A 20834-nucleotide genomic window follows, 5' to 3' on the forward strand; every position below is an offset into this window, starting at 1 on the left:
TTATGCCTGGCTTCCTTTGATTTTAACTGTCTCTGTTTTAAAAAGAACTGTTAAAAATATGTTTAAAAAAAAAGAATCGTTGTAGTAGTAGAAACCCAGTCTCTACTAAAAATACAAAAAATTAGCCGGGCGTGGTGGCAGGCACCTGTAGTCCCAGCTACTCGGGAGGCTGAGGCAGGAGAATGGTGTAAACCCGGGAGGCAGAGCTTTCAGTGAGCCAATGGCGCCACTGCACTCCAGCCTGGACGACAGAGCGAGACTCTGTCACCAAAAAAAAAAAAAAAAAAAGTACATCTATAAAATGCTAGTCATCAAAAATAATACAAGTTTAAATGTACTAACATGAAAAGATGGCAAAGATATATCATTAAGTTAAAAAAAAGGAAGTTAGATAGCACTATGTATAATGATACAGTTTTGGCAAGCAAACAATATAGACGTAACATGTAATACATATTTATTTTTTTTTTTTTTTTTTTGAGACGGAGTCTCACTCTATCGCCCAGGCTGGAGTGTAGTGGCACGATCTTGGCTCACTGCAACCTCCACCTCCCGGGTTCATGTGATTCTTCTGCCTCAACTTCCCAAGCAGCTGGGACTACAGGCACATGCCACCACACCCGGCTAATTTTTGGATTTTTAGTAGAGATGGGATTCCACCATATTGGCCAGGCTGGTCTCGAATACCTCACCTCATGATCTGCCTGCCCTGGCATCCCAAAGTGCTGGGATTACAGGCATGAGCCACCGCGCCCAGCCCCTACACATACATTTTTACTATTTGCACAGAAAAATATCCTGGAATCATGTTCACCAAACAATCTTCAGAGTAGGATTAATCAGTGAGCTTTCACATTCTATGGTATGTATTTGTTACCTTTGGCACTTTTGTATTATTGAGTTTTTGTTTGCTTGTTGGTTTGTTTGTTTGTTTGTTTAAGAGATGGGCTCTCACTCTGTTGCCCAGCCCTGGAGTGCAGTGACATGATCACAGCTGACTGCTGCCCTGACATCTGGGCTCTCAAGCGATCCTCCCGCCTCAGTCTCCTGAGTAGAGGAAACTAAAGGCACGCACCACCATCCCTAGCTAATTGTGGTTATTTTCACATGTGTTACTTATAATAAATATAAATCTTAAAAGAAAAAATGTAGTTAATTCTTACCAATTACACAGCACGTTTCTACACGATATTTATCAATCTCACAGAGGTTATGAGCCAGATAACTCAACTCCGATTTCATGCTCTGGGATAAAAGAAAAAGACAATATAAGCATGAAAAAAGAACTCCCTAAATTATTTTTCCTGTAGCTAATACAAGTGGGTGACAATCCAACCCAGATTAGTGCACAAAAGAGCTTAATCAAATCCAAGCAAGGGAAGCAGCTCACCCTGACATAAAGAAGGTTGGAGAATGTGTCCATATTTTCAATCCTGTAAGGGTCTTGTTTCCTTAGCTCATTAAAAATGGAGAGGGCTTTGTCAATATCTGCAGAAAGAAGATAGTTCAGAAAACAGCACAATGCACCTGTCAGGGTCTGATAGTATTTCATTGTCTTTATTCACTCACCTCTGATATTGTGATAGGCAACTGCAATTTGGGAAACAATATACGAGCTCTTAGAGAAGCCCACATCAATGAGATTCTGATACTTTTGCAGGGCCTCCTCTATCAACTGCAACTCTGTGTATATATGAGCCAGAAAAAACTCTTTCATCCAGGTGTCTGGCAAAGACAGGAACTTCAGCTGGCAGCAGGAGAGAGAGGGACACACTTAATATAACTTGACCTCTCTCTCAAACAAACATCCAGGAACTATCTTTATTATCTAAAGGAATTTATCACTAAAATTTTATTAGAACACCTAGTAATGAAAACAGGACAGTCCAATTAACTGAATATGACTTACAAGCATAATAGGGAGGAACAGCCTAGTTGGGAAAGGCTCCAAAGAAAAGACAGGATTTGAGGTGAGTCTTAGAGAATGGGTAGGATTTGAATACAAAAGGGGAGAGGAAGAGAAAGAAGACAATAGTCTAGACACGGGTAATAGCATAAGGAGAGGCAAAACAGTCATGATGATTGTGAGTGAGTAGGACAAAGAAACTAGCTTGGTTTGCGGGGAGGCTATGTACTGGGAAGTAGCAGAAAAATCAAACTGAACTGGTAGAGCGCATCCTAGGGTACAACAGATAATGGGATACAATAGGGAACCACTGCAAATATTCAGTAAGAGAATGACATGATGACATGGGAGCTTTAAGAATAAGTTTGGAAACAGGCCAGGTGGAATGGCTCAAGCCTGCAACCCCAGCACTTTGGGAGGCTATGGGAAAGGATCCCTTGAGGCCAGGAGTTTGACACCAGCCCTGACAAGAGAGTGAAACCTCATCTCCACAAACAAAAAAGAGAAAGAAATAGTTTGGAAACAGTATAGAGATGACTTGGAAATGGAAGTATAAAAATGGGAACCCTAGATAGAAAGTACCCATTACTTATAAGTAATCCAAATTTGAGATGACAACTGAGATGATAAAGGAAACCAAGAGAAAGAGATGTATACAAGAAAGTAACTATGGTTATGTCTCATGACAGACTAGATAAAGGCAGATAAGAGAAAAGGAAGACACAAGTATGACTCTAATGTGTCAAGACTGGATGTCGTTAATAGCGATGCTAGTAAAAGTCTATCAAGTTGGGAGAAATAATTTAGTAGGCAAGACAAGGAATTTGGTTTTGCTATTTTGAATCCAGAGATTGTTTAACAAACCTTCAATGAAAGTCTAGTAGGCAGTTACACATAGGTGAATAAAAGTAAACCAAGATAAGATTTCAGATACAGATTTAGTGACATAAATCACTACTGGGGGAAATCAACAAGACTTTAAGGCCAAAAAAAGGAAGTGTATTGTTGCTTCCATTAACTACTGAAGAACAGCAAAATAAACACTATAGACAATATCCTCTACTAATGGCTAATAAAATGACTGGAGTTTAAGAACAACTTAGTATACATTATTTCTTTAATAAGCAAATTTCTGAATCTTTACAGAATCCATGACAGCTCAGAAGAGGCCTGAACAATTTTTTGTTTGTTTGTTTGTTTGTTTGTTTGAGACAGAGTTTCGCTCTTTCGCCCAGGCTAGAGTGAAATAGCACCATCAGGGCTCACTGCAACCTCTGCCCCTCAAGTTCAAGTGATTCTCTTGCCTCAGCCTCCCGAGTAGCTGGGATTACAGGCATCCACAACCACACCTGGTTAATTTTTATATTTTCAGTAGAGACATGGTTTCACCACGTTGACCAGGCTGGTCTTGAACTCCTGACCTCAGGTGATCCACCCACCTTGGCTTCCCAAAGTGCTAGGATTACAGGCATGAGCCACCGTGCCTGGCCATAATGTTTTAATACAATTCTTGACAGCAGAGAAACCTTTCCTATAGCATCTTTGGGATTAGGGGACAAACTACAACAATATTCAGTCTATAAAATAAGTAACATAGGCTGGGCGTGGTGGTTCATGCCTGTAATCCCAGCACTTTGGGAGATTGAGGCAGGAGGATCACCTGAGGTCAGGAGTTCGAAGCCAGCCTGGCCGACATGGTGAAACCCCATCTCTACTAAAAATACAAAAATTAGCTGGGGATGGTTGTGCGTGCCTGTAGTCCCAGCTACTTGGGAGGCTGAGGCAGAAGAATTGCTTGAACCTGGGAGGCAGAGGTTGCCGTGAGCCAAGATCGCACCACTGCACTCCAGCCTAGATGAAAGAGCAAGACTCCGTCTCAAACAAAAACAAAAACAAGTCACAATAGAACTGAAATGTGAAAACATGAATATGAAAAAAATATTCTAGTATAACTGGATACAAATCCAACAGCAACTACTGAAAAAGAGCTAGTCATCAGTCTTTCAAACAAAGACTTACTTCCAAAACAGCGAAAAGACACCAGAGGCGCAGCAAAGGGAGAACTATAACCAAAGCCCTGCCAAAACTTTCCCCACCCCTATATTACTACAGAATTACAAAAGGCTTGAAGCAGAGGGTTTTTCACATAGCTCATCACAATTTACCATCTCTTTGTCTGTGATCAGGTTACAGAGTTCTAACCAGGCTCCCCAATGCAAGGGCAAAACATGAGTAGCTTCCACAAACACATCAATGGCCTCTTTAACCAAGTCCAGTTTTCGAAGCACCACACCATACCTGGGAAAAAAAAGAAACAATCACAGAAGTTAATGCTATTTAATAGCTGCTTTCTACTCAGGAGAATATGTTACAGAAAGTTCCAAATTACTGTAACACTTACAGATAAAGTCCAAATCCATCAAGTTCTCGAGCTTGGTGTTTTTTGCTGAGCTCCACTCTCAATTCTCTAAGCGCCTCATTTTTCACTTGTCCTTTTTCCAGGGGGCCTAGGAAAGAAACAGAGTCTCTGTTCTAAGGTTAGGATGCTGGTTTTCATTTTCTTATTTTATTTATTTATTTATTTTTCTAGAGACAGGGTCTCGCTATGTTCCCTAGGCTGGTCTCAAACTCCTGGGCTCAAGTGATCCTTCCGCCTCAGACTCCCAAAGTGCTGGGATTATAGGTGTGAGCCACTGTACCCAGCTCATTTTCATATGCATAGATATTCTCTTTAGCATCAACGAAAGTTACACCTGAAACCTCTAGCAAACACAAGGTACCAATGATATCTTACACAACCCATTTACTGTATTCCAGAAATTGCAACTACTAATGGGTTTACAGTCATTCTGTTAGACCCACACAGTTTTTATTTGAATTCGTTATGAATGTTTAAAAATCAAAAACCTCAAATAAAACTCTAAATTTCTAGCTTCAGGTTGCAGGGAACAGGGTAGGGCCAAGGGAAGAAAGCCATCACAATACCAACCCCAGATTCCCCCAAGACAGCCCTCAGCTATAGCTGGGTACAAGGTAGCTGAGATAAGCCAGGTGCTTTCCAATTTGTAATGGTTATCCTCAGACCATTCATATTACCTGCCTGGCTGTTGGAGGCATTTAAGTTTGCAACCCTGCTTTTTAGGTCAAAAGGTAAAAGAAAAAAATTCGTACCTAAGCTATCAACTGTTTCATCGTCCTTCTTTTTTTCTCCAGACTGTAAGAGAAAATCAACAAATAGGTCTTTTTTCAGTTTATTCTAAAACATACTTTAAAACTAGCATCCTGATCCTACCTAAAGGGCCAAGTTCAACCAAAATGGCATCGACTTTTGGTCATTATTTATTTATTTATTTATTTGAGACAGTCTCACTTTGCTTTGTTGCCCAGGCTGGAGTGCAGTAGCGTGGTCTCAGCTCACTGCAACCTCTGCCTCCCAGGTTCAAGTGATTCTCCAGCCTCAGCCTCCCGAGTAGCTAGGATTACAGGCACCCGCCACCACGCCTGGCTAATTTTTGTATTTTTAGTTGCGACGAGGTTTCATCATGCTGGTCAGGCTGGTCTCGAACTCCAGACCTCAAGTGATTTGCCCACCTTGGCCTCCCAAAGTGTTGGGATTACAGGCGTGAGCCACTGTGCCCAGCTGGTCACTAATTTCAAATAACTCTTCAGGGCCTCCCTGGCCAAATCTGGAGTTATCTGAGCACCAAAATAATTAAGTAATGAATTATGTACAATTAAAAATATAGGAATCCATGAGTTCATACTGATACTAAATAGATAAATAAATGGGGAAAGGGAGGGAAGGCTCTTTCTTAAAGTAGAATGCCAAGCGTTGAGTAGTAAATGTAGACAAAATGCTAGAGTAGATAATCATCATTTTGAAACATTATAGTAAAGATTGCTTCAGATAAAAATTAACAATGAATACTAAATTTAGAGAAAAATTTGTATGAGGAGCAAGATATCTGCATGGTCTTAAAATGTTATCCGCACAGACTGTTGATGAGTTGCAAGGGAAATAACAGTAACTACACAGTGGAGAAAATGGATAACATCTTCATCAAATGATCAAAATTAACATTAGCAGTGAGGGGCTTAAAGGCATTGTGTAACACTAGATGCGATGCCCTGTGAAAAAACATCAGACATATCCAAAATGAAGAATGTTCTATTAACAAAAGGGAAAGATTCACATACCAAGAATATGTGAAAAAAGGAGGAGAGAGGGAAAGGAAAGGAAGGGGAAATGGAAAGGGAAAAGAAGTCAAACCCACAGAATGTACAACACAGGGTGAACCCTAATGTAAACTGTGGACTTTTGTTGATATGTGTCAATACTGGTTCATTGATTACAACAAATATATCACACTGGTGCAGGATACTGATGGTGACAGAACCTCTGTGAGAGGGGAGAAGGAGGTATATGGGAACTCCTGTACTTTCTGCTCAATTTTGCTGTGAATCTAAAACTGCTCTAAAAAATACTCTATTGATTAAAAAAAAGAAAGAAAGAAAAAGAAACAGGGAGGGAAGATTTATAAATTTCAAAAAAAGTCAATGTCATAAAAGACAAATAAGGCTGTTTCAGATTAGCGGAGATTAAAGAGACATGACAACTGATTCTAGATTGTACTGAGGGGGAAATGCTATAGAAGACACTGCTGGCTCAATTGACAAGATTGGAATTCGGCCGGGTGCAGTGGCTCACACCTGTAATCCTAGCACTTTGGGAGGCCGAGGCACGCCAATCACCTGAGGTCAGGAGTTCCAGAGCAGCCTGGTCAACGTGGCGAAACCCCGTCCCTACTAAAAAATACAAAAATTAGCCGGGCATGGTAGTGAGCACCTGTAATCCCAGCTACCCAGGAGGCTGAGGCTAGAGAATCGCTTGAACCTGGGAGGCGGAGGTTGCAGTGAGCTGAGATCACAACACTGCACTCCAGCCTGGGTGACAGAGCTAGACTCCATCTCAAATAAAAAAAAAATTGGAATTCAATAATAGATTGAATATAGTATCAAATGCCATATTTAACAATATGGTGTGAAATTTACTAAAGTTGATAACTATGTTGTGGTTATTTAAGAAAATGTCCTTATTCTAAAGAGAACAAATTAAAGCATTTGGGGTAAAGAATGATGATATCTGCAACTTATTCTCAAATGGTTCAGAGTAAAACAATTCCATGTGTATGCACACGTTGTGTAGAGATAAAGTAGAGAGAAATGATAAAGCAAATAGGATTAATGTTCACAATAGGCAAAACTATAAAGAGTACAGAAGTGCCAGGCACAGTGGCTCACGCCTGTAATCCCAGCACTTTGGGAGGCCAAGGCAGGTGGATCACCTGAGGTCAGGAGTTCGAGACCAGCCTGACCAATATGATGAAACCCCATCTCTACTAAAATTACAAAAATTAACTGGACATGCTGGCATGCACCTGTAGTCCCAGCTACTTGGGAGGCTGAGGTAAGAGAAAGGCTTGAACCCGGGAGGCAGAGGTTGCAGTGAGTTGAGATCGCACCACTGCACTCCAGCCTGGGTGACAGAGAAAGACTCCATTTCAAAAAAAAAAAAAAAAAGTACATAAGTATTCTTTGTACTATTCTTATTCTCGCAACTTGTCAATTTGGAATCATTTTCAAATAAAAGGTTAAAAAGCAAAGTAAACATTCAGACTCTCTTTTTTCTTTTTTTGGAGACGGAGTCTCACTCTGCCGCCCAGGCTGGAGTATAGTGGTATGATCTCGGCTCACTGCAAGCTCCACCTTCCGGGTTCACGCCATTCTCCTGCCTCAGCCTCCCGAGTAGCTGGGACTACAGGCGCTCGCCACTGCGCCCAGCTAATTTTTTGTATTTTTAGTAGAGACGGGGTTTCACCGTGGTCTTGATCTCCTGACCTCGTGATCCGCCCGCCTCTGCCTCCCAAAGTGCTGGGATTACAGGCGTGAGCTACCGCGCCCGGACTTTTTCTTTCTTTCTTTTTTTTTTTGGTGACAGGGTCTTGCTCTGTTGCCCAGGCTGGAGTATAGTGGTACAATCTTGGCTCACTGTAACCTCCACCACCTGGGCTCAAGCGATCCTCCTATCTCAGCCTCCCAAGTAGCTGGGGCCACAGGCACACACCACCACACCTGGCTAATTATTGTATTTTTTGTAGAGACGGGGTTTCACCATGCCGCCCGGGCTTCCTTTTATATTTTATATATTTGCCTTAAGGAACTTTATTTTATCCCAAACTTCAGCAAATGCTGGTTCTATTCTACCATAACTCATCCAAATTAGTGCTTCTACACAGGTATAGATTGTATGTGAAAGATTAACTTTTTAAATCCCATAATTTCAAAATATCTTTCTTAAACTCATGGAGATAAGCAAACTGTGGTATATAAATACAATGGAATATTATTAAACTTTAAAAAAGGAAATTCTTATATATGCTACAACATGGATGAAACTTGACAGCATTATGGTAAGTGAAATAAGCCAGTCACAAAGAGACTAATACTGCATGATTCCACTTATGTAAGGTACTTAGAGTAGTCCAGATCATAGAAACAGAAAATAGAATAGTGGTTGCCAAGGGGTCCACCTTGGGGAAAGGGAAAAATGGAGAGTTATTGTTTAATGGGTATAGAATTTTAGTTTTACAAGATAAAAAATGTTCTAGAGATGGGTGGTGGTGATGGTTGCACATTATGAATGCATTTAATACCACTGAACTGTACACTTTAAAAATGTTAAAATGGTAAATTGGAAAAAAAAAAAAAAAACAAAGATGACTTAAACATAGTCCATAACTGCAAGAATTTACCACGCTTGACAAATACAAGCTATGCTAATAGTTGATCAACCTAAATCATAAGATCTGAAATCTGCATTGCTCCAAAACCCAAAACTTTTTCAGCACCAATGACACTCAAAGCACCAATGACACTCACTGCAGCATTTTTTATTTCAACCAGTAAGTATAATGCAAATATACCAAAATCTGAAAAAAATCTGAAATCTGAAACACTTTTGGTCCCAAGCACTTCAAATAAGGGATACTCAACCTGTACTAGGAAATGAGAAGTACATAAAATGTTTTTTTAATCAATTTATATAGATAACAACTAAGAAAAAGTAGGAAAGTAAATTCATAATGTTTCAAAGTAAAATAATAAATTGTACTTATTATTCAATACAGTATTAAGTTGGTTTACTTGCATTGTCCTTTACAGTCATACTTTTTAATAGCCATGAAAGAAAAACAATAAATATACTATAAACATGATAAATGAATTTATAAATTTAAAAGTCAGCCCAGGCTTTTTAACTTAATTCTTACACAATAATATTAATTCACAGGCATGAAGAACCTTATATAACCTAAAGTAAATAAATAATCAGGTTGTTACTTATCCTGTTAGTCATTCCTAAGAATATTTTCTTCTCTACCATCCTTTTTAACTTTATTTATGATATCTTTTTTTTATTATTGCTATGTATAAAGTACATTCATTCAGTGGCCCACTGCTAAGCTATTTAAAAGATTTAACTTTTCCATTGGTTCTAAATATGGATGTTTCACTAAAGGCAGAATGACATTTTAAAATGGCCCTCACCAGATATCTGGAATACATATACAGAAAATAGGCTTTCTTGCTATTGCAGCCATGCAGGAAATGTGCTGCCCGATCATACTCTTTAACGTCAAAGTAGGCCTTGGCCAGGGTATAGGCATCCATATCCTGGGCATCTTCCTAAAAAAGAAACAAGCTTATGTAAGTGGTTGGGAATAGGACAACAAAACTTCAAATCTAAAAAGTATATTCGTTAATTTCAAGATGTAAAAGAAAAAGGATTGTTTTCTTCCTCCTAAAAACCTAGAATATGTAGATGCATATATATATAATTTTATATATTTATTTTATTACCAAGTAAGCCCATAGAACTCTTTTTTTTTTTTTTTTTTTGAGACAGAGCCTCACTCTGTCACCCAGGCTGGAGTGCAGTGGCGCAATCTCAGCTCACTGCAACCTCTGCCTCCCAGGTTCAAGCGATTATTGTGCCTCAGCTGCCAGAGTAGCTGGGATTACAGGTGTGCGCCACCACTTCCAGCTAATTTTTGTATTTTTAGTAGTGATGGGGTTTCGCCATGTTGGCCAGGCTGGTCTCAAACTCAGGGCCTCAAGTGATCTGCCTGCCTCGGCTTCCCAAAGTGCTGGAATTACAGGTATGAGCGACCGCACCCGGCCAAGTTTTTCTTTCTAATTTTTTCAAAATAAAAAAATGGAGAAAAAAGAAAACTTTAAAAAACTAAACGAACACTCATAAATGTGTATTGTTTCTATAAATGTAGTAGAAAGTTGAATAGGCTTTAGTGTTAAGGACCTAGATTCAAATTCTGACTTTTTGATTTCCTGGTTTCAGGACATTGGTAGGGAGGTTACTTAGCTTCTCTTAGCATCCATTTCTTCATCTGTAAAATGAAGCCAATAATACTGACCTTACAGATTTGACTTGAGGAAAATGTGAGTCACATAAAATATCCAGCATTAATACTGGCATTCTATTCCTTCTCCTGTCTTTTACAGTCCTACATAAATGCAATGTACGTGCAATTACTTATATTTTTTGTACTTCAATAAAGTTTTGTCATAATTTAGTATTGCTGAAGGCACAGAACACAGCTGTAATTCTCTATGTTAAAAAAAAATTAGATAATGTCACATTTAAGTTAAAAACATACAATCCTTGGCTGAGCGCAGTGGCTGTAATCCCAGCACTGTGGGAGACCAGGGCAAGAGGATGGCTTGAACTCAGGAGTTCAGGACCGGCCTGGGCAACGTGGCAAGACCCTGCCTCTACTAAAAATACAAAAAAATAGTTGGGCATGGTACTATGTGCCGGGGGTCCCAGCTACTCGGGAGGCTGAGCCTTGCTGCAGTGAGCCAAGATCGCGCCACATCACTTCAATCTGGTGACGTAGCAAGACTCTGTCTCAAAAAAAAAACAAAAAACAAAAATTCAATCCCCCAAATTCTTTTTTTTTTTTGAGACAGAGCCTCGCTCTGTCGCCTAGGATGGAATGCAGTGGTGTGATATTGGCTGACTGTAACCTCCACCTTCTAGGTTCAAGCAATTCTCCTGCCTCGGCCTCCCTAGCAGCTGGGATTACAGGTGCCCGCCACCATGCCTGGCTAATTTTTGTATTTTAGTAGAGACGGAGTTTCACCAGGCTGGTCTTGAACTCCTGACCTCAAGCGATCCACCCGCCTTGAACTCACAGCAGAGTGCTGGGATTACAGGCACGAGCCACCACCGGCCCAATCCTCCAAATTCTAAGGATGAGTTAATTAAAATTTGAATAACTGTATTTTCCTCATCTTTCTTGCCCCAAATATCACCAGAACAAAACTGGAACCAAAACATATTCAGTGCTTTCTTCATTAGATCAACATGTCCTAAATACGACCATTTGATTTAGGATTCTGGAGGCCCTTCTCATATCAACTCACCACTTGTTTATTTCTTTCCCCCTAACTCTTTCACCTGCATTATGCCTTTTTGAGTAAGAAATACTTGTTATTGCTGAATGGGACAAAAAAATCAAGAAAGGCATCATCAGGAAAACAAAATGGATTATAATGAAAAGCATTCAGATTATACAAGACTATGTATACATGCATACTATAGGCCCAGCATAAAATATATTCGTAACAGTCGATATATCCTTATAATTCAGAAAGTTTTACTATTTGGATTATATAATCTTAAATTTTTCTGTTTCATTCTTGCTTATGGGAAGAATCTGGAATGTTCTACTGAAAATTACATGTAATTTAGAGGCATTTAGCATTTGGCTGAGTTTTGTTTCGTTTTGAGACAGGATCTCACTCTGTCTCCTGGGCTGCAGTGTAGTGGCGCAATCTCAAATCACTCCAACCTCAGCCTCCTGGGCTCAAGTGATCCTCCTCCCACCTCAGCCTCTGAAGTCACTGGGTCCACAGGTGCGTGCCACCGCACCACCATGTATTTCTAGTACAGATATAGTTTCACTATGTTGCTTAGGCTGGTCTGGAACTCCCGGCCTCAAGCAGTCCTCCCAAAGTGCTGGGATTACAGGCATGGGCCACCATGCTCAGCCAGGTTGAGTTTTTAAACCAAGAAGCCACAATTGGTCCTAGTCACATCTTATATTCAGAAAAGCTAAGCTTCAGGGCCAGGTGTGGTGGCTCATGCCTGTAATCCCAGCACTTTGGGAGGCTAAGACAGGTGGATCACCTGAGGTCAAGAGTTCAAGACCAGCCTAGCCAACATGGTGAAACCCCATCTCTACTAAAAATACAAAAAATTAGCCAGGTGTGGTGGTGAGCACCTGTAATCCCAGCTACTTGGGAGGCTGAGGAAGGAGAATCACTTGAACCTGGGAGGTGGAGGTTGCAGTAAGTGGAGATCATGCCATTGCACTCCAGCCTGGGCAACAGAGTGAGACTCAAAAAAAAAAAAAGAAAAGAAAAGAAAAGAAAAGCTTTAAGTCCAAGACAAAGGATAACGAGTTTAAGGCCTTATATGACATGCTTCTTTGGTAATGTTTATAAAACACTGAGAGTAAGCAAGCCGGGTGTGGTGGCTCACACCTGTAATCCTAGCACTTTGGGAGGCTGAGGTGGGTGGATCACCTAAGGTCAGCAGTTTGAGGCCAGCCTGGCCAACATGGTGAAACCTCGTCTCTGTTAAAAATACAAAAATTAGCCAGGCGTGGTGGCACATTCGGTAATCCCGGCTATTCGGGAGGCTGAGGCAGGAGAATCACTGAAACCCAGGAGCCAGAGGTTGCAGTGAGCCGATATTGGGCCATTGCACCCTAGCCTGGGTAATACAGCAAAACTCCGTCTCAAAAAAAAAAAAAAATTGAGAGTAAGCTATAACAAACATCTACTACGTAGATTGAGCAAGCATAATACTCTTGCATTTTAATAACTTTAAATATCACAGTTATGGCTGAGAGCAGTGAATCATGCATGTAATCCCAGCACAGCACTTTGGGAGGCTGAGAGGGGTGGATCACTTGAGGTCAGGAGTTCGAGACCAGCCTGGCCAACATGGTGAAACCTCCTCTCTACTAAAAATACAAAAAAATTAGCCAGGTGTTGTGGCATGCACCTGTAATCCCAGCTACTCAGGAGGCTGGGACAGGAGAATTGCTTGAACCTGGGAGGTGGAGGTTGCGGTGAGCCGAGATTGAGCCACTGCACTCCAGCCTGGGTAACAGTGCAAGACTCCGTCTCAAAAAAAAAAAAAAAAATTCACAGTTTTGGCCAGGCACGGTGGCTCACACCTGTAACCCCAGCACCCTGGGATGCCTCGGTGGGTGGATCAGCTGAGTTCAGGAATTCAAACCAGCCTGGCCAACACGGTGAAACCCCATCTCTACTAAAAATACAAAAAATTAGCTGGGTGTGGTGGCACACGCCTGTAGTCCCAGCTACTCAGGAGGCTGAGGAAGGAGAATCCCTTGAACCTGGGAGGCAGAGGCTGCAGTGAGCCGAGATCAAACTACTGCATTCCAGCCTGGGTGACAGAGCAACATTCCATCTCAAAAAAATAAATAAACAAAATAAAGTAAATAAATCACAGTTTTAAGGTTTACTCTAGTTTACACTTTAGATCAAAACATTACTCTGGGGTTTTTCAGAGATAGTCCCTAGAGAAGACCTGAAAACACTAAGTACACAACAAATTGGTAAAGAGGCTGCTGAATCAATCATTCTCACAGCAAACTGAAAGCTATTCAACAAACCAATAGCTAATACTTTACAATAATTCAATAATGGTCAGGTTTCTGCAATGTCTGTAAAATCCCTGTATATAATACAAACCCTCAGGAGAGGGTGATATTTACTGAGGCTCTACTTCTCAATAAATATGCTTTATTTACTCATTCAATAGTTATTTATCCTATTTAGGGAACACTTATACACTGTTGATGGAACTGTTAAGTTAGTTCAGCCTCTGAACTAACAGAGTTCACAGATTTTTCAAAGAACTAAAAACAGAATTACCATTTGACTCAGCAATCCCATTACTGGGTATATACCCAAAGGAAAATAAATTATTCTACCAAAAAAACATCTGCACTCGCATGTTTACCACAGCACTATTCACAATGGCAAAGACATGGAATCAATCTAGGTGCCCATCAATGGTGCACTAAAGAAAATGTGGTACATATACACCATGGAATACGACACAGCCATAAAAAAGAACAAAATCATGTCCTTTGCAGTAACATGGATGCAGCTAGAGGCCATTATCCAAAGTGAATTAACACAGAAATAGAAACCCAAATACAGCATGTTCTCACTTACAAGTGGAAGCTGATCACTGGGTACACACGGACTTAAAGATGGGAACAACAGACACCAGGGACTCCAAGAGTGGGGAAGGAGGAAAGCAAAGGGTGAAAACTATCTGGCCAGGTCCCAGCACTTTGAGAGGCCAAGGTAGGTGGATCACCTGAAGTCAGGAGTTCCAGACCAGCCTGGTAAACAGGGTGAAACCCTGTCCCTACTAAAAATACAAAAAGTTACCCAGGCGTGGTGACGGGTGCCTGTAATCCGAGCTACTCGGGAGGTTGAGGCAGGAGAATTGCTTGAACCCGGGAGGCAGAGGTTGCAGTGAGCCATCATGCCATTGCACTCCAGCCTGGGCAACAAGAGCAAGACTCCGTCTCAAAAAAAAAAAAAAGTAAAATAAAATAAAACTGTCTATCAGGTATTATGTTCACTATTTGGATGATGGGTTCAACTGAAGCCCAACCTCAGAATCACACAATATATCCATGTAGCAAATCTGCACAAGTAACCCCTGAATCTAAAATTTAAACAACAAAAACAATTATTTATCCTATTCAGGACCAACGATGGGCCTAGGCATTATGAAAGTGGGCACAAGAGTAAAAGCTAATGAGACAAATATAAACTGCATTGACTCAAAAAATTTACCTAAGAGTATACCGTATGCTTTACCCTTATTGCTTTATTTAATCTTCTTGAAAATGCAGCAATTATTAACATTATCTATAGATGAGAAGGCTGTCACTTAGAAATCATTTGCCCACATTGGTGCTGCTAATAAAGAACTTGACCGAAATATAGATGCAAGCACCAGGCACACTTCTAAGCGGTCTATATTATTATCTCATTGACTTCTCTCAATATCCCCATTGAGTAGATACTATTACTATCGTCACTGCACAGATGAGGAAACTGGCTCAGAAGGTTAAGTTGCCAAAGGTCATTTGAACCCAGAGTCGTCTCAATCCAGCACCCAAACTTAACCATTATTTGCTATGCTGATCAGACAACAGTGTAGGTATTGTAAAAACTTTATTTATTTATTATTTATTTTGAGACAGTGTCCCGCTCTGCCCTCGGGCTGGAGTGCAATGGCGCGATCTCAGCTCACTGCAACCTTCGCCTCCCGGGTTTAAGCGATTCTCCTGTCTCAGCCTCCCGAGTAACTGGGATTACAGGCGCGCGCCACCATGTCCGGCTAATTTTGTATTTTTACTAGAGACGGGGTTTCACCGTGTTGGCCAAGCTGGTCTCGAACTCCTAACCTCGTGATCCGCCCACCTCGGCCTCCTAAAGTGTTGGGATTACAGGCGTGAGCCACCGCGCCAGACCAAAACTTTTGATTCTTCTCATCCTTTTGGGTATTTATTATGAGATATCCTTATAATAATTCCTTATAATAATATTTACTATTATGAGGCACTCTTATGTCTAGGTTTGGCTATAAGCCCTAAAAGGCTGAAATCATAAGCAGTAATTGTTTACTAATTCTCCCCAGCTTTAAATAAGAGCACCACCAAGTCTTTCAAAGCTCAAGAAAACTAAATGGATAAAATCATTTAAAACACTCAGCTCTTTGAATGCCTGAATTCCCTCTACAAACATTTCTGCTAAGCAGTTTGCTCTCCTCCAGTGACAGGGCACTCAGTGGCTCTTGAGGCACACCCCTGGGTTGATGGGGAGCGCTCACTGTAAACATGTCCTTACCTCTGTAATAGGCGGAGGCGGTTGCAGCTCGGCCAGAGGCAATGCAGGGAGAGAGAAAGCCAACTCCGCCGACCTGGAACACCCACACAAACTAGATCAGCTCGACAAGCCCCCCAAGGCCAAGGATCCAAGCCCCGTCCCTTCCCACTCCAACATCTCACCATTTGCTACTGTGTAGTAGGCCCCGCTCCCGGGTAAGGCCCGCAATAAGCAGCAGTTGCTTTTTAATTTCCCGCAAATCTGAGAAATCGCTGTTTATGGACAGGACAGGCGCCACTGCCGCCGTCACAGCCACCGGGACCATGGAGGTACTCGCAGCCATTTTCCCGACTCGGGCCACTCCAGCCAATCATCGGCGATAATACTGGCTGCCCATCTGCACCAAAAATATCTGCCTGTCATTGGCCGGCTCTTGCTCCGGAAAAACCAATCATAGGTCTTATTTCTGAAACGTCACGAAGAGGCGGGGGAAAAGAAACAACTACATCCCCAAATGGCCAAGAGCTACTGAGGCGGGAAAATTAGAAAATAGGCGGGGCGAGGGAGAAGCCACGACCTCTGGGCGGGGCGGGGAAGAGGGGAATGAGTGACTGGGAAAAGTAAACTGGGAAGCTAGGGGTGGGAGTAGGGGCAAGAAAGGGTGGAGAAGGGAGAGTGCCTTTCACGGGTGATGTGATTGGATGAAAAATAGAAAGGGTGTAGTTTCAGGGCCGACTCTGTACCAGATAATGACAAAGTGATGTATATGCTAGGAAAGATGCATGGTAGCCTCTGGATTCTTCCTTAAAATAGGAGGATGTATCGCCCCATGTGGAGGATTTTTCCTCTTTGTCTACCCTTTCTTACCCCGGGTAGCCCGGGGAGGTGGGGGTGAGAGCATTGTTCTGTAACATTTATTTAACAATAATTGTTAACATTTCACATTTATTGAGGGTTTATCCTACAACAGGTTCTGCTCTTTTACAACTATAATCTGGTTTAATCCTAAAAACAGCACTATGATATTCGTATCATCCCAATTTTATAGAAAGAAAAACGGAAGCTCGGCCAGGCGCGGTGGCTCAAGCCTGTAATCCAACACTGTGGGAGGCCGAGGCGGGCGGATCACGAGGTCAGGAGATCGAGACCATCCTGGCCAACACGGTGAAACCCCGTCTCTACTAAAAATACATAAAAATTAGCCGGGCGTGGTGGCACGTGTCTGTAGTCCCAGCTACTCGGCAGGCTGAGGCAGGAGAATCGCTTGAACCTGGGAGGCGGAGGTTGCAATGAGCCGAGATCGTGCCATTGCACTCCAGCCTGGGCGACAGAGCGAGACTCCGTCAAAAAAAAAAAAAAAAAAAAACAAAACCAGAAAAGAAAAAAAAGAAAAAACGGAAGCTCAGAGAAGTTCTATCACTCTTCCAAGGAGAGAGTCTAGACTATAAACCAGATTTTACTCCAAAGCCCAATGTTCTTAAACATTACATGAACATTTTCGGCGTTTTTTGGTTTTTATCCTTTCATAGTAGTATACTATCTTACCAACCCCTCGGGAATTTTTTTTGAAACCATTTTGTCATTCACTGGGTGTTATATAGAAGTTATCTATTTTTAAATTGTTATTTTATTATTTTATTTATTTTAAGAAAGGGTCTCGGCCGGGCGCGGTGGCTCACGCCGGTAATCCCAGCACTTTGCGAGGCGAAGGCGGGCGGATCACGAGGTCAGGAGATCAAGACCATCTTGGCTAACACGGTGAAACCCCTGTCTCTACTAAAAATACAAAAAAAAAAAAAATTAGCCGGGCGTGGTGGCAGGCACCTGTAGTCCCAGCTACTCTGGAAGCTGAGACAGAATGGCGTGAACCTGGGAGGCGGAGCTTGCAGTGAGCAGAGATCGCGCCACTGCACTCCAGCCTGGGCGACAGAACGAGACTCTGTCTCAAAAAAAAAAAAAAGAAAGAAGGTCTCGTTCTGTCATCCAGGCTGGAGTGGCCGCGGCCCGATCAAGGCTCACTGCATCCTCAAACTCCTGGGCTCCAGTGATCCTGCCGCCTCAGCCTCCCAAGTAGCTGGGACCACAGGTGTGTGTCACGACACCCAGCTAATTTTTTTTTTTTTTGTAATTTTCGTAGGGACAGAATCTCCCTATGTTGCCCAGGCTGGTCTCAAACTCCTGGGCTTAAATGATCCTCTCGCCTTGCCCTCCCAAAGTTCTGGGATTACAAGCATAAGCCACCATGCCCAGCCCATTTTACCCTTTAAAAAAATCAATTTGCGGGCCTATATTCCCAGTGCTTTGGGAGGCTGAGGCGGGAAGATCATTTGAGCCCAGCTGTTGAAGACCAGCCTGGGCAACATACCAAGACCTCCCTATCACTACTACTATAAAAATTAAAAATTAAAAAAATATATATCCAGGCATGGTGGTGCATGCCTGTCATCCCAGCTACTCGGGAGGCTGAGGTGGGAGGATCACTTGAGTCCAGGAGTTTGAGGTTGCAGTGAGCTATGATTGCACCACTGCACTCTCCAGCCTGGATGCAGAGACCCTATCTCAAAAAAAAAAAAAGAAGTAATGTCAATGGCAAAAACTTGAAGAATACATTAACTATAAAGAAAAATATGGGAGGTGGGCGTGGTGGCTCACGCGTGTAATCCCAGCACTTTGGGAGGCAGAGGCGGGTGGATCACGAGGTCAGGAGATCGAGACCATCCTGGCTGACACAGTGAAACCCCGTCTGTACTAAAAATACAAAAAAGCCAGGCTTAGTGGCGGGTGCCGTAGTCCCAGCTACCCGGGAGGCTGAGGCAGGAGAACATGTGAAGCCGGGAGGCGGAGCTTGCAGTGAGCCAAGATCACGCCACTGCACTCCAGCCTGGGCAACAGAGCGAGACTCGGTCTCAAAAAAAAAAAAAGAAAAGAAAAATATGGGCCAAGCGCAGTGGCTCACGCCTGTAATACCAACAAGGCCTAGATGGATGGATCACCTGAGGTCAGGAGATGGAGACCAGCCTGACAAACGTGGTGAAACCCCATCTCTACTAAAACTACAAAAATTAGCTGGGTGTGGTATTATGCACCTGTAGTCCCAGCTACTCCGAAGGCTGAGGCAGGAGAATCGCTTGAACCCAGGAGGTAGAGGTTGCAGTAAGCCAAGATCGTGCCACTGTACTCTAGCCTGGACAAGAGTGAGACTCTGTCTCAAACATAATTAATTAATTAATTAATTTTTTTAAGAAAGAAAAATATGTAGAACACTAACTCCCACCCAAAGGAAATCACTGGTTTCTGTGTTTCTCCATCCATCTGTGTACATAGCTTCATACTGCAGTGCTGCCCACATTTGTCATTTGATAATTCACTCTAAGTATTTTCCCAAGTTAATATTCTTCTAAATCGTGATACTTAATAACTGCATGATAATCCATTATATGAATGTACCATAAATTGGCCGGGCACAGTGGCTAATGCCTGTAATCCCAGCACTTTGGGAGCCTGAGGCAGGCAGATCACCTGAGGTCAGGAGTTCGAGACCTGTCTGGCCAACGTGGAGAAACCCCATCTCTACCAAAAATACAAAAATTAGCTGGGCATGGTGGTGTGCCTGTAATCCCAGCTACTCAGGAGGCTGAGGCAGAATTGCTTCAGCCCAGGAAATAGAGCTTGCAGTGAGCTGAGATCGTGCCACTGCACTCCAGCCTGGGCAACAGAGCAGGACTCTGTCTCAAAATAAAACAAAACAAAAAACCATAATATTTAAAGCATATAATACTCAACTGAATAGAACAAGCACTCTGTCACTCTAGACTCATGAGATCCTCCTGCCTCAGCATCTCAAGTAGCTGGGATTACAGGCAGGTACAAACAAGCCTGGCTAATTTTCTTTACTTTAGAGATGAGGGTCTCACTATGTTGCCCATGCTTGTCTGGAACATCTGGCCTCAGGTGATCCTTCTGCCTCAGCCTCTAGAGTAGCTGGGATTACAAGTGTGAGCCACTGGCCTGGCCAAGTTCACCCTTTTGATATATACAATTCAATGGTTTTTAGTATATTAACATAATTACGCAATTATCAACCACTATCCTATTCGAGAACATTTTCATCACCTGAGAAAGAAACACCATATCTGTTACCAGTCACTTTCCATTCTCCTCTCCCTCCAGCCCCTGACAATATTTTCTGTTGGTACCATTGTTTTCTGTGGTTCCCTAAGATTTCTTGCCCTGCTAGATAAGATTTTTGATTAAATAAATGCAACTCACAGATATGTTGAAGAGTACTTTAAGGAAAATTTACAGGATTCTTATTTGCAAGCTCCTCCTTATGTAGTATTTCAACATCAGGGTTTCTTATGCTTGGGGTCTTTAGCCATTATCCATTGCAGGTAATTTTTTTTTGGCAAATATTTATAGTAGCTTTATTCATAATCACCAATAATTGTAAAACAACCCAAATTTTTTTTTTTTTTTGAGACAGAGTTTCGCTCTTGTTGCCCAGGCTGGAGTGCAATGGTGCAATCTCGGCTCACTGCAACCTCCACCTCCCAGGTTCAAGTGATTCTCCTGCTTCAGCCTCCCGAGTAGCTGGGATTACAGGCATGTGCCACTATGCCTGGCTAATTTGGTATTTTTAGTAGAGATGGGGGTTTCACCATGTTGGTCAGGCTGGTCTTGAACTGCCTGACCTCAAGTGATCTACCTGCCTCGGCCTCCCAAAGTGCTGGGTTTACAGGTGTGAGCCACTGTGCCCAGCCCCCAAATATCTTTTAATGGGTAAATCTTAGGATAATCGGTGATACATTGATATACTGGAGTACTAGTCAATAATGCTACTAATAATTTTTTTTTCGAGACAGAGTTTCACTCTTGTTGCCCATGCTGGAGTGCAATGGCA

At 42.1% G+C, this 20834-nt stretch overlaps 1 protein-coding gene across 1 annotated transcript in view, besides 1 other annotated feature; it reads right to left on the reverse strand.

The window, feature by feature from the left end:
* The window catches only part of CDC23 (cell division cycle 23), a 25674-nt gene extending 9386 nt beyond the window's left edge, over positions 1-16288 (reverse strand). The window contains exons 1-9 of the mRNA NM_004661.4: positions 16117-16288; positions 15956-16028; positions 9512-9649; positions 5078-5120; positions 4308-4413; positions 4072-4204; positions 1570-1747; positions 1391-1488; positions 1164-1245 (exon numbers count right to left, since the gene is read on the reverse strand). Coding sequence (NP_004652.2) covers positions 1164-1245; positions 1391-1488; positions 1570-1747; positions 4072-4204; positions 4308-4413; positions 5078-5120; positions 9512-9649; positions 15956-16028; positions 16117-16277 — 1012 coding nt within the window. The 5' untranslated portion in view covers positions 16278-16288. The remainder of the gene's footprint in view (positions 1-1163; positions 1246-1390; positions 1489-1569; positions 1748-4071; positions 4205-4307; positions 4414-5077; positions 5121-9511; positions 9650-15955; positions 16029-16116) is intronic.
* Positions 16305-16599: an enhancer, noted in NCBI's record as "tiled region #7870; K562 Activating DNase unmatched - State 1:Tss". NCBI's record gives its function as "activates a minimal TATA promoter and a strong SV40 promoter by Sharpr-MPRA in K562 cells {active_cell/tissue: K562}" and the evidence as "EXISTENCE:reporter gene assay evidence [ECO:0000049][PMID:27701403]".

The sequence above is a fragment of the Homo sapiens genome, chromosome 5 (genome assembly GCF_000001405.40).
Source record: "Homo sapiens chromosome 5, GRCh38.p14 Primary Assembly".
In the NCBI taxonomy this organism is placed as follows: domain Eukaryota; kingdom Metazoa; phylum Chordata; class Mammalia; order Primates; family Hominidae; genus Homo; species Homo sapiens.